This window comes from Homo sapiens, chromosome 2 (assembly GCF_000001405.40).
Source record: "Homo sapiens chromosome 2, GRCh38.p14 Primary Assembly".
In the NCBI taxonomy this organism is placed as follows: Eukaryota; Metazoa; Chordata; class Mammalia; order Primates; family Hominidae; genus Homo; species Homo sapiens.
Genome location: NC_000002.12, coordinates 91,624,871 through 91,636,070, shown reverse-complemented (window position 1 = coordinate 91,636,070; position 11,200 = coordinate 91,624,871). Strand labels below are relative to the sequence as shown.

Sequence of the window (11,200 nt, the reverse complement as noted above, 5' to 3'; positions counted from 1 at the left end):
CAGCAGGTCCTCCCTTAATGAGCTGAACAAAGTTAACAACACCAGGAATAGGACAAATGGGTGCCAAGTGTCTCTTGATGTGATACACTGAGAACACAGCATTGCTTCTGTAGCATTCCGGTCCCTGGAGGAAACATCAGACAAACACAGATGGAGGGACCTTCAAGGACTGACCTGAACTGTTCTTCGGTGTCAACCCCATGATAGACAAAAAGAGGCAGAGGAACTGTTCCAGATTAAGGGAGACTAAAAAGGTATGACAGCTGGATCAGGGGAAACGTGCCTTAAAGGGCATTATTGGGACTGTTGGCGAAATTTTAAGTGAACTGTATATTAGACAATTATCAAGGACTACACGATTGTATGGCATCAACCTCAAATTCCCCGAACTTGAGCACTAGAGTCTTCTTGTTCTGATGGAATATGTTCTGAAATGTTTAAGGGAGAGGAGAAGGATGCCTGCAACTGAATTTCAAATGGTTCAGGGAAAGATAATAGAGTAGAATAGACTATATAGATGGAGAAAGTAAATGTGGCAAATAACAATTGGTGAAGGTGGGTGAAGGGCATGAAAGTTCTTTGCCTTACAATTAATTCTTCTATAAGTCTGAAATTATTTGAAAATAAGAGAAATGCTTTCAGCTGTGAATAACAGAAAGTCTGACTACTTGTGGCTTTTGCAATAAAGACATTTAGTTATGTAACATAACAGGATTTAAGAGGAAGAAGGCAAGGACTTGAAAAGGCTCAGTGATGTAGCTGAGGCCCCAGATTCCTTTTATCATTTTGTCCAAAGGCTCCACCTTCCTGAATATTACTGCTTTATACCCTTGGAGCTTCATGATCACAGGATGGCTGTTATAGCTCCAGCCATCATGACCAAGTTCAGACTCCAGGAACAAGATGGAGGAAGCTATGTCAAAGGGGGCTTTTCTTGATGTGTCTCTCGCCTTTAACCAGTGAAGAAAATCTTCTTAGAAGGACACAGCAGACTTCTCCTTATGTCTCATTATCCAGAAGTGGACCACAGGACAGTCCCTACTGTAAACTCTTTCAAGTATCAGGCAAAAAGGAACAAAAGGCCCCAGCCTGGCTTAAACCAACCTTGAGTCATCACCTGACACTGGACACTTTGTTTATCCAAGCAAAATCAGGATTTTCTGTTAGCAAGCAAAGGAACTGCTCATGGATAAGAAATTAACAGTGTGTGCCATAATTCATATTTGCCGCCAAGCATCTTCTCAGGCTGACACTGTGCCAAACAAGGGATTATAGAGATGAAGATGCAGCTTCCATCCCTGAAAGCTCACAGTCCATTCTGTCAGGGCAATCCCGGTAACCTCCTCATCACAATCATCCATCCAGATCATGGAAGTCCCTTTACTCCCCAAATAAGAAGGAGTAGCAGGAAAAAGTGACCTCATCAAGCTGACTCGAGTTTTTCCAAAAGCAAATAAATAAATAAATAACTTTTTAACCTGCACAGCCAAATATCAAATAAATACATGTATGTTTTTTGGGGGGGTTGGGGGGTGTTTTTTTTTTCTGAGCTTCCTGTGGTATTGAAACTATCTCCCACTTCCTCCTTTTTGTCTCAAAAGATCTTAAGCATTGGGCCAGATACAGTGGCTCCTGCCTGTAATCCCAGTACTTTGGGAGGCCGAGGTGGGCAGATTGCTTTAGCCCAGGTGTTCGAGACGAGTCTGGGCAACGTAAAAATAGCCCATCTCTAAAAAAATAAAATAAAATAAAATACAAAAATTAGCCAGGCATAGAGGTGGATGCATGTAGTTCCAGCTACCTGGGAGGCTGAGGTGGGAGGATCACTTGAGCCCCAGGGGTTGAGGCTGCAGTGAACCATGATCATCACATCTGGGCAACAGAGCAAGACCCTGTCTCAAAAAAAAAAAATCTAAGCATCCATTCATTTTAGTTCATTTGAGGATAATTATTGACCTCCTCTTCTACCACCACTAGGGATACAGAGGAGGAGCAAACAGACATTATTCCTTCCTCTTGAGGCTCACAGTTAATTGGTAAAGAGGGACCACTATTCAGAAAGTCCCACACATCATTGTATGATCAAAAGCTATGACAGATGCAAGGAAGGAAAGCTGGATGGTGTTGTGAGGCTTCATGGCAGGGACACCAGACCTGGTCTAGAGGTGAGGGAAGACTTCCCTGAGGCACTGGCTTGAATGGAGAGCTGAAGGAGGAATAGGAATTCACTAGAAGAAAGAAGAGGAAGCAGCAAGTGCAAGGCCCTCCTGCAGCAGGAGGGAGCATAGCACATTCAAGGAAAAGAAGCCAGCAGTGTGGATTACAGAGGAAGAGTGCAGCACGAGGGCAGTGGCTTGAGATGAGGCCAGAGAGGAGGGCACGCAGGACCAAGGGGACCAAGGCAAGGATTTTGGTGTCCATCAAATTGGAGAGTGCTGAGCAGGGGAGGGGTAACCGTGTAATTGCCTTTCTCAAATGCCCGTTTTACCATAGCAAGGACAGACTGGTAGAAGCAAGGGATGAACTGGAGAGATGAGTGAGGAAGCTGCTCCAGAAGACCCATCAGGAGATGACGGTGACAGGGAATTGAGTGGTAGCAATGACAATGGGAAGAGATGAGCAGAATCCAGGTATTTGTGGGTAGAAGTGGCAGGTGTGGCTACTTATTGGAGATGGGGCTGTAGGGCTGTGAAGGTGTGAGTCCTTTACTTATCCATCTCAAGGGTCACGGCCAACACTCCTATAACAAAAGACATATTAACAAGAGAAAAACAGAGCAAATTTATTTAATCCAAGTTTTATGTGACATGGGAGGCTTCAGAAATGACAACCCAAAGGCCCAGGGAAAACTGTTAATTTTTATGCTTAGATTAGATGAAGAATGGACAGCTAGATAGAAATGTGATTGGACAAACGGGTATGACCTACTGGGAACAGACTGAAAGGGGACCCAGCAAAACTGTCTGCTCAGATTCTTCTCAGCCTCTCTGTGTAGCCTCCATTCCTCCTGGGTATGGGGCAGGACCCTTTCTGAAATGAGAGTTTTCAAAGGAGAAGGAGAAGATAGAGAGTGACCTTTCTAGGTTTTATGGTTTGCTTTAGCAGGAGGGTTTCTAGGTTCTATGACCCATCTTGAGGAAGATAAATTCTGGTTTCTGTGACTCACTTTGGAGGATGAAGGCAAGCAGAAGAGAGGGTATGAGGAGAAGGTTGGAAAGACCTTGCTTCTGAGTTCCTTCCAATGTCCTTCAGTTCAAAATACTCAGGCTGAGGCACCATGCTTTGGGGTGTCATGTTCTAAGCCCCGACAGCATAAGGGCAGCGTTGAGACAGCCTTTGCAGCCTGGCCTGCATAATGGACAGACGCTAGTGCAATCCATAGGGTTGGAAATGTGGAGGGATAACTGGCGATGCCGGGAGCCTTGAGTTCAGTGTTGGACACATTGAGTGTAAAGTGCCTTTGAGACACCCAAGTAGGCTGTTGGAAATAACCAGCCTGGAGCTGAGAGGTCAGGTTGAAAAGCAGTGTCTGGACGGCAGGTAGGCCCTTGGCCATGAATTAGACCACCAAGGAGAGCAAAGTGAGAAGTCAAGAGGACCTAGTAGGGCCCCTGAAAACTCCAAATGGCCAAGAAGAGGCAAAGAGCTACAAACAATCCTGAGAGGGGGCCGAGGGCAGAGCCACCTGGAGGGAATGTTCATCAAAGTCACACCCTGCCCCTGCATCCGCCCCTCACTCTGCACATGGGAGCTCAAGAAGCCAAGGGGCTTGCTCTGTACCCGGGTCACCCAGCTTCATCCTGGGCAAAATGAGATCACAGTCCCCGACTCTCATTTGCCCTCTTTTCTGCTTTTGTTTTTTGTTTTTTTTTTTTTCTTTTATGCTCTTTTTAATTTTTTTCTGGGTACACATTAGGTGCATATATATGTGAGGTACATGAGATGTTTTGATACAGACATGCACTGTGAAATAAGCACATCATGGAGAATGAGGTGTCCATCCCTGAAGCATTTATCCTTTCTTTCTTTCTTTTTTTTTTTTTTTTGAGATGGAGTCCAGCTCTGTTACCCAGGCTGGAGTGCAATGGCGTGATCTCTGCTCACTGCAAGCTCCGCCCCCCAGGTTCATGCCATTCTCCTGCCTCAGCCTCTTGAGCAGCTGGGACTACAGGTGCCCGCCACCATGCCAGGCTAATTTTTTTTTGTATTTTTAGTAGAGATGGGGTTTCACAGTGTTCACGGGGATGCTCTCGATCTCCTGACCTCATGATCCGCCCACTTCAGCCTCCCAAAGTGCTGGGATTACAGGCCTGAGCCACTGCACCCGGCACATTTATCCTTTCTAATACCAACGATCTAATTACACTCTTTTAGTTATTTGTAAATGTACAATTAAGTTATTAATGACTACAGTCATCCTGCTGTGTGATCAAACAGTACATCTTATTCATTCTTTCTAACATCATCCCCACCTGCCCTCAGCCCCCCACTCCTCTTCCCAGGCTCTGGTAACCACCTTTCTGCTCTCTAGCTCCATGAGTTGAACTGTTTTGATTTTTAGATCCCACAAATCAGTGAGAACACGCAATGTGTGTCTTTCTGTGCCTGGCTTGTTTCACTTAACATAATGACCTCCCATTCCATCCATACCATTTTCTGCTTTTGTACAAGGCATAAAAAGCAGGGCAATGGGACTCAATGGATTTTCCACGCTGCTCTAACACACTACTGCAAACCTTGCAGCTTCAAACAACACAGATGTATTCTCTCATAGTTCTGGAGGTCACAAATCCAAAACGAGTCTTCCTGGACTAAAACTGAGGTGTTGCCAGGACCCTTGGTAGAAGCCCTAGAGGAGAATCCATTCCTTGCCTCTTTGGTGGCTGCTGGCATTGTGAATTGTGGGCACATCACTCCAATCTCTGCCTCCACGGTCACATCACCTTCTCTTCTGTAGTCGAATCTCCTCTGCCTCCCTCTTCATCTATAAGGACACTTTGTGATGACATTGCGTATCCACACAGATAACCCACAATAGTCTCCCCGTCGCAAATCTTTGAAGTAATCTCATCCACAGAGTCTCTTCTGCCAACATCCCATTCACTAGTTCTGGAGGTTAGGACGTGGACATCTTTGGGAGTTATCATTCCCCCTTTCACAGGCTATCTGGGCTGTATACAGAACCAGAGATCTGAGAATCATCTTGGCGGCCTCACTCTGTGAGCAGAGAAACGTGTCTGTGCTCAGCAGCAATCCCTGGAGGCAGAGACTGGAAATTACACCTGCAACCGTAGTAAGAGCTTGCCAGGGGGCCGGAATGGGTGCCATACCTAGAGCTGTACAGGCATCCACCTCAATTCTCTCAGCGGCCCTTTGAGGTCACTCTCTTACTGCCACCAAGGTGCAGGGTGGTGAAGTTAACTCAGAGCAGAGACCTGGCCTTGAAGCCTCGTCTCCCTGGGGAACAACCAATCAGCAGGAATCTGAACACAAGCACGAGGGGCAATCTGAGCCCTTCCCCAAAGCCTCACTCTTCATTCACTCTGGCTGGAATCCTGCCCTCCCTTCAGGGCCAAGCTTAGGGAACAAGGAGCAACCAGATCCTACCTCCAAGGACAGAGCCCTTACGTATTTCTGCAATCTGTCTGCAGCCGGTGGTCTGAATGAGCATCGTGTCATCACAGCACTTGTAAATTTTGGAGGGGCTCCTCCACACTGAGGGAATATGCTTGTTCAGGGGAGGGCACACTCCCCCATTTCTCCCGGAACCACACTTCTGCCGTGGGACCCTGAGAACACAAGGGCCCTCCCCTTGCCCTGTTGCTTCATGTGGCTTAGTCTTGCTTAACAAACATGCTAGGTGTGGAAGCTGAGGCCTACATGTAGTGTTGAGGGCAAGCAGGGACCGCCTGGAAATGCTGAAAGCATTCTCTTAAAGTGGGGCCTTCCCATCATGATTGCTAGGCCCATGATGAGAAGATATTGCAGGAAAGCACGACCTGGACCATAGAAAGGGCAGATCAATGTGTGGGCCTTTATGTGCTTATCCCTCCCACCACCCTGCTGCAGACCCCACCCGCACTCAAGCTTAGCCCCTGTGGCTTGGAACCCAAGGACGCTTCTGAGCTGAGGCAGACTTCAGGGAGTACTAGTTAGGATAGGTCAGCTGCAAGTAACAAACAAACAAACAAAATACACAGCAAACTCTGGCCCTCAGGGCCAAATTCAGCCCACCATCTATTTTTATAAAGTTTTATTGGAACATAGGTGTACCCATTCATTTACACATTGTCTATGGTTGTTTTTAGGGTTGTAGTGCCAACAGAGATCTCATGGCCCACACAGAGCCTAAAATGTTTTCCATGTGGCCCTTTATGGAAAAAGTTCGCCCACCCCTGGCTTGAACAATGACAACATTGAATTATCTGCCATCACAAGAACTCCAGAGGAAGGTGGCTCCAGGGTCACACGAAGGCTCAGCAAAGTCCTCGAGGCCCCAGGCTCCTGTTCCCTCCTTGGCAGGTTGGCCTTTCTTCTTGGGCTGGTTTCTTCATGGTCACAAGCCGGCTGCCACAGTTCCAGGCTTGACTGCCTCTCAGAAGCACATTCAGGCCAGGAGGAAGGGCAGGCTTCCTCCTCACCTCTTCTTATTTAGGGATCAAAAATCCCTCCAGGGCGGTGCAGCAGAGGTCCCTTACCTCTCAGTGTTTAGACCAGAGGTCAGTAAGCATTTCCTATAAAGGACCAGATAGTGAGTATTTTAGGCTTGTCAGGTCACATATGATCTCTGCAGCATATTCTGTGTGTGTGTGTGTGTGTGTGTGTGTGTGTGTGTGTGTGTGTGTGAGAGAGAGAGAGAGAGAGAGATGACCCTTTAAAAATGTACACTCCATTCTTCTCATGAGCCATAGCTTGTCAACGCCTGGTCTGGCACTCTTCACATGCCCTCTCCATGCCCATCTCCAGCAAAGGATAGCGGGCTTACCCTTGCTATCAAAGGTGCTTGGCTTAGACCAATCACCCAAAACTGATGTTTCAGAGATGCCTGCTGGAGGAGTGTAGGCAGATATTACTGATGTCAGAAAAACAGTTTGAGCGCCACTTCCTTCTCTGGCAGGAAGGAGTGATTGGCTGCTGGTCCTGCCCTGTCCGAGGAGGAGGACGGAACCCACCCACCAAGCTGTGGAGAGGTGGACCCCACAAATCCCCTCGCAAGCCACGTCTGAGAGCGAGCAGAGGGAAGAAACTCAAGCGTTTGTAGTCCTCTTTCTTAACAACAAGGCTTAAAGCGCCATCTTGTGTCTTGAAGGCAGAAGGAGGTCAGGATGTGTGTGCTAGAAGCAGGCAGAGGATCTTCACCAATGTCTCAAAAACTAGAGAAGGAAACATGGCGATCCTCAAGGCCTGCGGCGGCCCCAGCCCTTCCCGCACCCTGCGATAGTCTGGTGTTGGGAGGGTGGCCCACGTGTCCAAGCAACCACATCAGGGAGGTTCTGGGAGAGGAGAAGGCAAAGCTCCTGCCCTCATGAGGCAGGCAGTCCCATCCAGGACTGGACTGGATGAGCACCAATAAATAAGAAAACACAGCTGGCAGCTGACTGTGAAGGGTCTGGACAGGGTGCCGAAGTGAAGCGTAATGAGCTGGATAGTGAGGACCTCACTACAGAGGGACATCTATCTACACACAGCCTGAAGGGTGAGAAAGATGGATCCTTGCCCTGAGCCAGAAGTGCACACCCCAGAGAGAGCAGCTCCTGCAGAGGTCCTGTGGGGCAGGCATGGTAGGAATATTAAAGAGAAGAAGCCAGGTGTGGCTGCAGCCATGCAGGAGGAAGGGCGATGGGGTTGGGGAGGCAGAGGATGGGATTGGCATGAGAAGATGGAGATGCAGAGCCCAGATCGTGATAGCCCCAATAGTCCACGGGTAGGAGTTTGTATTTTCTACTAAAAGCAATGGGAGGGCGGGGCGCGGTAGCTCATGCCTATAATTCCAGCACTTTGGGAGGCCGAGGCGGGTGGATCACCTGAGGTCAGGAGTTCGAGAACAGCCTGACCAACATGGTGAAACCCCATCTTTACTAAAAATACAAAAATTAGACAAGTGTTATGGCGCGCGCCTGTAATCCCAGCTACTCAGGAGGCTGAGGCAGGAGAATCGCTTGAACCCAGGAGGCGGAGGTTGCAGTGAGCTGAGATCATGCCATTGCACTCCAGCCTGGGTGACAAGAGCGAAACTCTGCCTCAAAAAAAGGGAGGGGGGGCAATGGGAAACCATTGAATCGTTTTTAGCAGGTGGTCTGATTTGATTTACATTTTTTAGACATGTAGCTTCACTATCATGGTTATGGTGGTCCGTGCATTACTAACATTGCTAAAACCACCATCATGCCAGAATTACCCTTCCATTTGTGGGTTAAAACACTGCACCCATCTGTCCCTCCCCAGAGTCCTCTTAGTGGCTGCTCTTAGGAGGAACTAACATGGACTACATTCCCCCATCACACCCAGCACAAGTGCCCTCCCAGCCTCCCCCACCCAACTCAGTCCCATTCACACGTGGCATGCCAGGGACTCTCCCATCAGGGGAACACCCTGTAACTCCCAAGTTCCTCCAAAGCCTCTTGAGAGGGACCATGGTGCCCTGCAGGGAGTGGGTCCTGGTGGGTCCAGTGGAGGGAACGTCCTTGCTGAAACTGGCTGGGTCTTAGCCGGGAAGTGGTGACAGGTATCTCTCACATACGCTACGGGAACCCAGCGCAGCCAATGGAGTCCAATCAGCACACCTTGCGCCCACCCCTTCGTTTGGTAACTTGAGGCCACTGCCCACCCACCAGGTACCATCTCTCAAGCGTGCCCTGAAGTTCAGGGAAAGACGCCAGCGCCCCCTGCTGGTTGCGCTCTCCCATAGCAGGGCTCACATTTTGGGAGAAAGAAATCAGCTGTTAGCAGCTTTTGTTCTTCACCATGTTAAGCAAAGCACAACATTTTATAACTGGGTGAAAAGCCAGATATTCTGTCAGCTGATTTGATTGTTCTGTACGCATATCCCTAAGCCATTGTTTGACGGATATTTGTACTGAGTTGACTTTCTTCATAAGATGATAGGACTAATGAAGAGAAAAGGCAATGGAGTTTTTAAAACCAGCGTGATGAACCAAATGCTGCCACTGACTAGCTATGTACATGTAATCCAAAGGTTCCCTCCGTTGAAACAAAATAACAGTGCTTACCTAACCAGGTCAGCTGTGAGCTGGGACTTCACAGACAGGCATAGAGAGACATGGATGCAGGAAGGGCTTCCTTAGCTGAGAGGGTCGTGAAACTGGAAGGTAGTAGCAAGCATTTTCCAGTTGGATCTTTTGGCCGACATTTGTAGTGGGGAGACAAACATGTCTAATTTTCCCCCCACCCTGGCACATGGGCAGGTAGGAAGATGCTGGTGGGTTTGGTTCGACAGTTTGGAGAATGTCTTGTGGAAGGGGTGCTTTTTTTAATGCACACTCAGGCACCATGGGAGCCTGTTGTCACCCTGGATATCTAGCTCCATGCCCTTGCCCTTCCACTCTGCCTCGACAAGAATCATGGCACCCAAAATACATGAGTTCAAATCTAAGTTTCACAGGCTCAGGGATGAACCCAAGCTACCAAATGCACAGGCCCCTCCTGTATACGGTTACAGCAGGTAAGGGAGTAACTTACTCAGTGCAAGCTGCTGTAACAAAATAGCACAAGCTGGGTGGCTAATCAACAACAGGCATTTATTTCTCACAGGTCTGGAGGCTGGAAGCCCAAGATCAGGGTGCCAGTGCTGGCATGGTCGGGTTCTGGTGAGGGCCCTCTTCCAGGTCACAGACAGCTGTCTTCTCATTGCATCCTCACATGACAGAAAAGAAGTGCACAAGCTCTCTGGCCCCCTCTTACAGGCGCTAATCCCATTCACAAGGGTCCTACCGTCATGACCTCATTACCTCCCAAAGACCCCACCTCCAAATACCACCACATTGCCATTAAGCTTCAACATATGAATTTAAGGGGGAAACAAACATCCAGTCCATTGCAGATTGTCCTGATAATATGTGTGCCCAGGGCATTGCCCCCACAGCAAAGAGAGACATTGGAAGGCAAACCAATGTCAGGTTTCCTAATGTGCACGGAGTCATCCCTGGAAGAGTGAGTCCGGTGATCTTACCAGCTAATTGCATTGAGCTACCCCACCTTGGGGATCTACCTGCCAAGGAGAACAGAACACCACTGGCTTTGACACCCATCTCTCAACAATGATGGAAGAATGCTGGAAATTTACCTGCTCTGGTAGCTCTGTCTAAGTTCATCTTCCTTGTATGGACTTTCTTTTTTTATTGCTCTCAAATACTTGTATTATTAAATATCTCATTTAAAATTTCTTTAAAATACATTAAAAGTACATTTAAAGAGTACATTTTAAGAGTGCAGATGAAAACATAATGAATACATCTTTGCTTAAGAAAAAATATTTCGGACACAGCATGAACTCAGTTGCTGGTTCCAAGCCCCTCCCCTTCTCACTACACTGAACTTGGCATGCATTCTTTCTTCAGGTGTGTTTGTAATCTTACTACATATGGACATATCCCCCAGCAATATCAGGGATTGTTTTGCTTGTTCCTAGACATCATATAAATGGTATCATACCAATTATACCCCTACACTACTTAATGTTTCATTCAACATTGTTTTGGGGGACTATCCATGTTGATACATGAATTCTGTTGTGTTCATTTTTTCCTCTTGTGAAATAGTCCATCATGGAAATTGTCCCTAGTGTGTCTATCTGCACTCCTAATTGACAGGCATTTAGGCTGTTTTCCATTTTCCTAATTACAAGTTATGCTGAGTGAACATTCCTGAACATAGGTGTGAGGCTGTCTCTGGAGCACATGCCAAGGAACAGAATTCTTAGGTCGTAAGGAATGTGTACCTCCAGCCTTAGTCAATATTGCCAATTGCTGTCCTATCTGATTTTATTCATTTACGCTCCCACTAGCAGTATATATGAGTCTTTCTTTCACTTCTTGCCAACTCTTGCCAATCTAATGAATGGGAAGTGGTAACTCATTATTATTTCAATTTGTATTCCCTGTATTAATCCCTGAGACCTTAACACTTGTGTATTGCACATTCTGGTTCCTCTTTGGCAAATTGCCTTGGCATTAAGATAGTA

At 47.4% G+C, this 11,200-nt stretch overlaps 5 annotated features.

Moving 5' to 3' along the window:
• Positions 3,066-3,566: an enhancer, noted in NCBI's record as "H3K27ac hESC enhancer chr2:91820531-91821031 (GRCh37/hg19 assembly coordinates)". NCBI's record gives its function as "activates a minimal SCP1, AML or CMV promoter by ChIP-STARR-seq in naive H9 embryonic stem cells {active_cell/tissue: H9 hESC(naive)}" and the evidence as "EXISTENCE:reporter gene assay evidence [ECO:0000049][PMID:30033119]".
• Positions 3,567-4,067: an enhancer, noted in NCBI's record as "H3K27ac hESC enhancer chr2:91820030-91820530 (GRCh37/hg19 assembly coordinates)". NCBI's record gives its function as "activates a minimal SCP1, AML or CMV promoter by ChIP-STARR-seq in primed H9 embryonic stem cells {active_cell/tissue: H9 hESC(primed)}" and the evidence as "EXISTENCE:reporter gene assay evidence [ECO:0000049][PMID:30033119]".
• Positions 7,540-8,109: an enhancer, noted in NCBI's record as "H3K27ac-H3K4me1 hESC enhancer chr2:91815988-91816557 (GRCh37/hg19 assembly coordinates)". NCBI's record gives its function as "activates a minimal SCP1, AML or CMV promoter by ChIP-STARR-seq in primed H9 embryonic stem cells {active_cell/tissue: H9 hESC(primed)}" and the evidence as "EXISTENCE:reporter gene assay evidence [ECO:0000049][PMID:30033119]".
• Positions 8,187-8,686: an enhancer, noted in NCBI's record as "H3K4me1 hESC enhancer chr2:91815411-91815910 (GRCh37/hg19 assembly coordinates)". NCBI's record gives its function as "activates a minimal SCP1, AML or CMV promoter by ChIP-STARR-seq in primed H9 embryonic stem cells {active_cell/tissue: H9 hESC(primed)}" and the evidence as "EXISTENCE:reporter gene assay evidence [ECO:0000049][PMID:30033119]".
• Positions 8,687-9,188: an enhancer, noted in NCBI's record as "H3K4me1 hESC enhancer chr2:91814909-91815410 (GRCh37/hg19 assembly coordinates)". NCBI's record gives its function as "activates a minimal SCP1, AML or CMV promoter by ChIP-STARR-seq in primed H9 embryonic stem cells {active_cell/tissue: H9 hESC(primed)}" and the evidence as "EXISTENCE:reporter gene assay evidence [ECO:0000049][PMID:30033119]".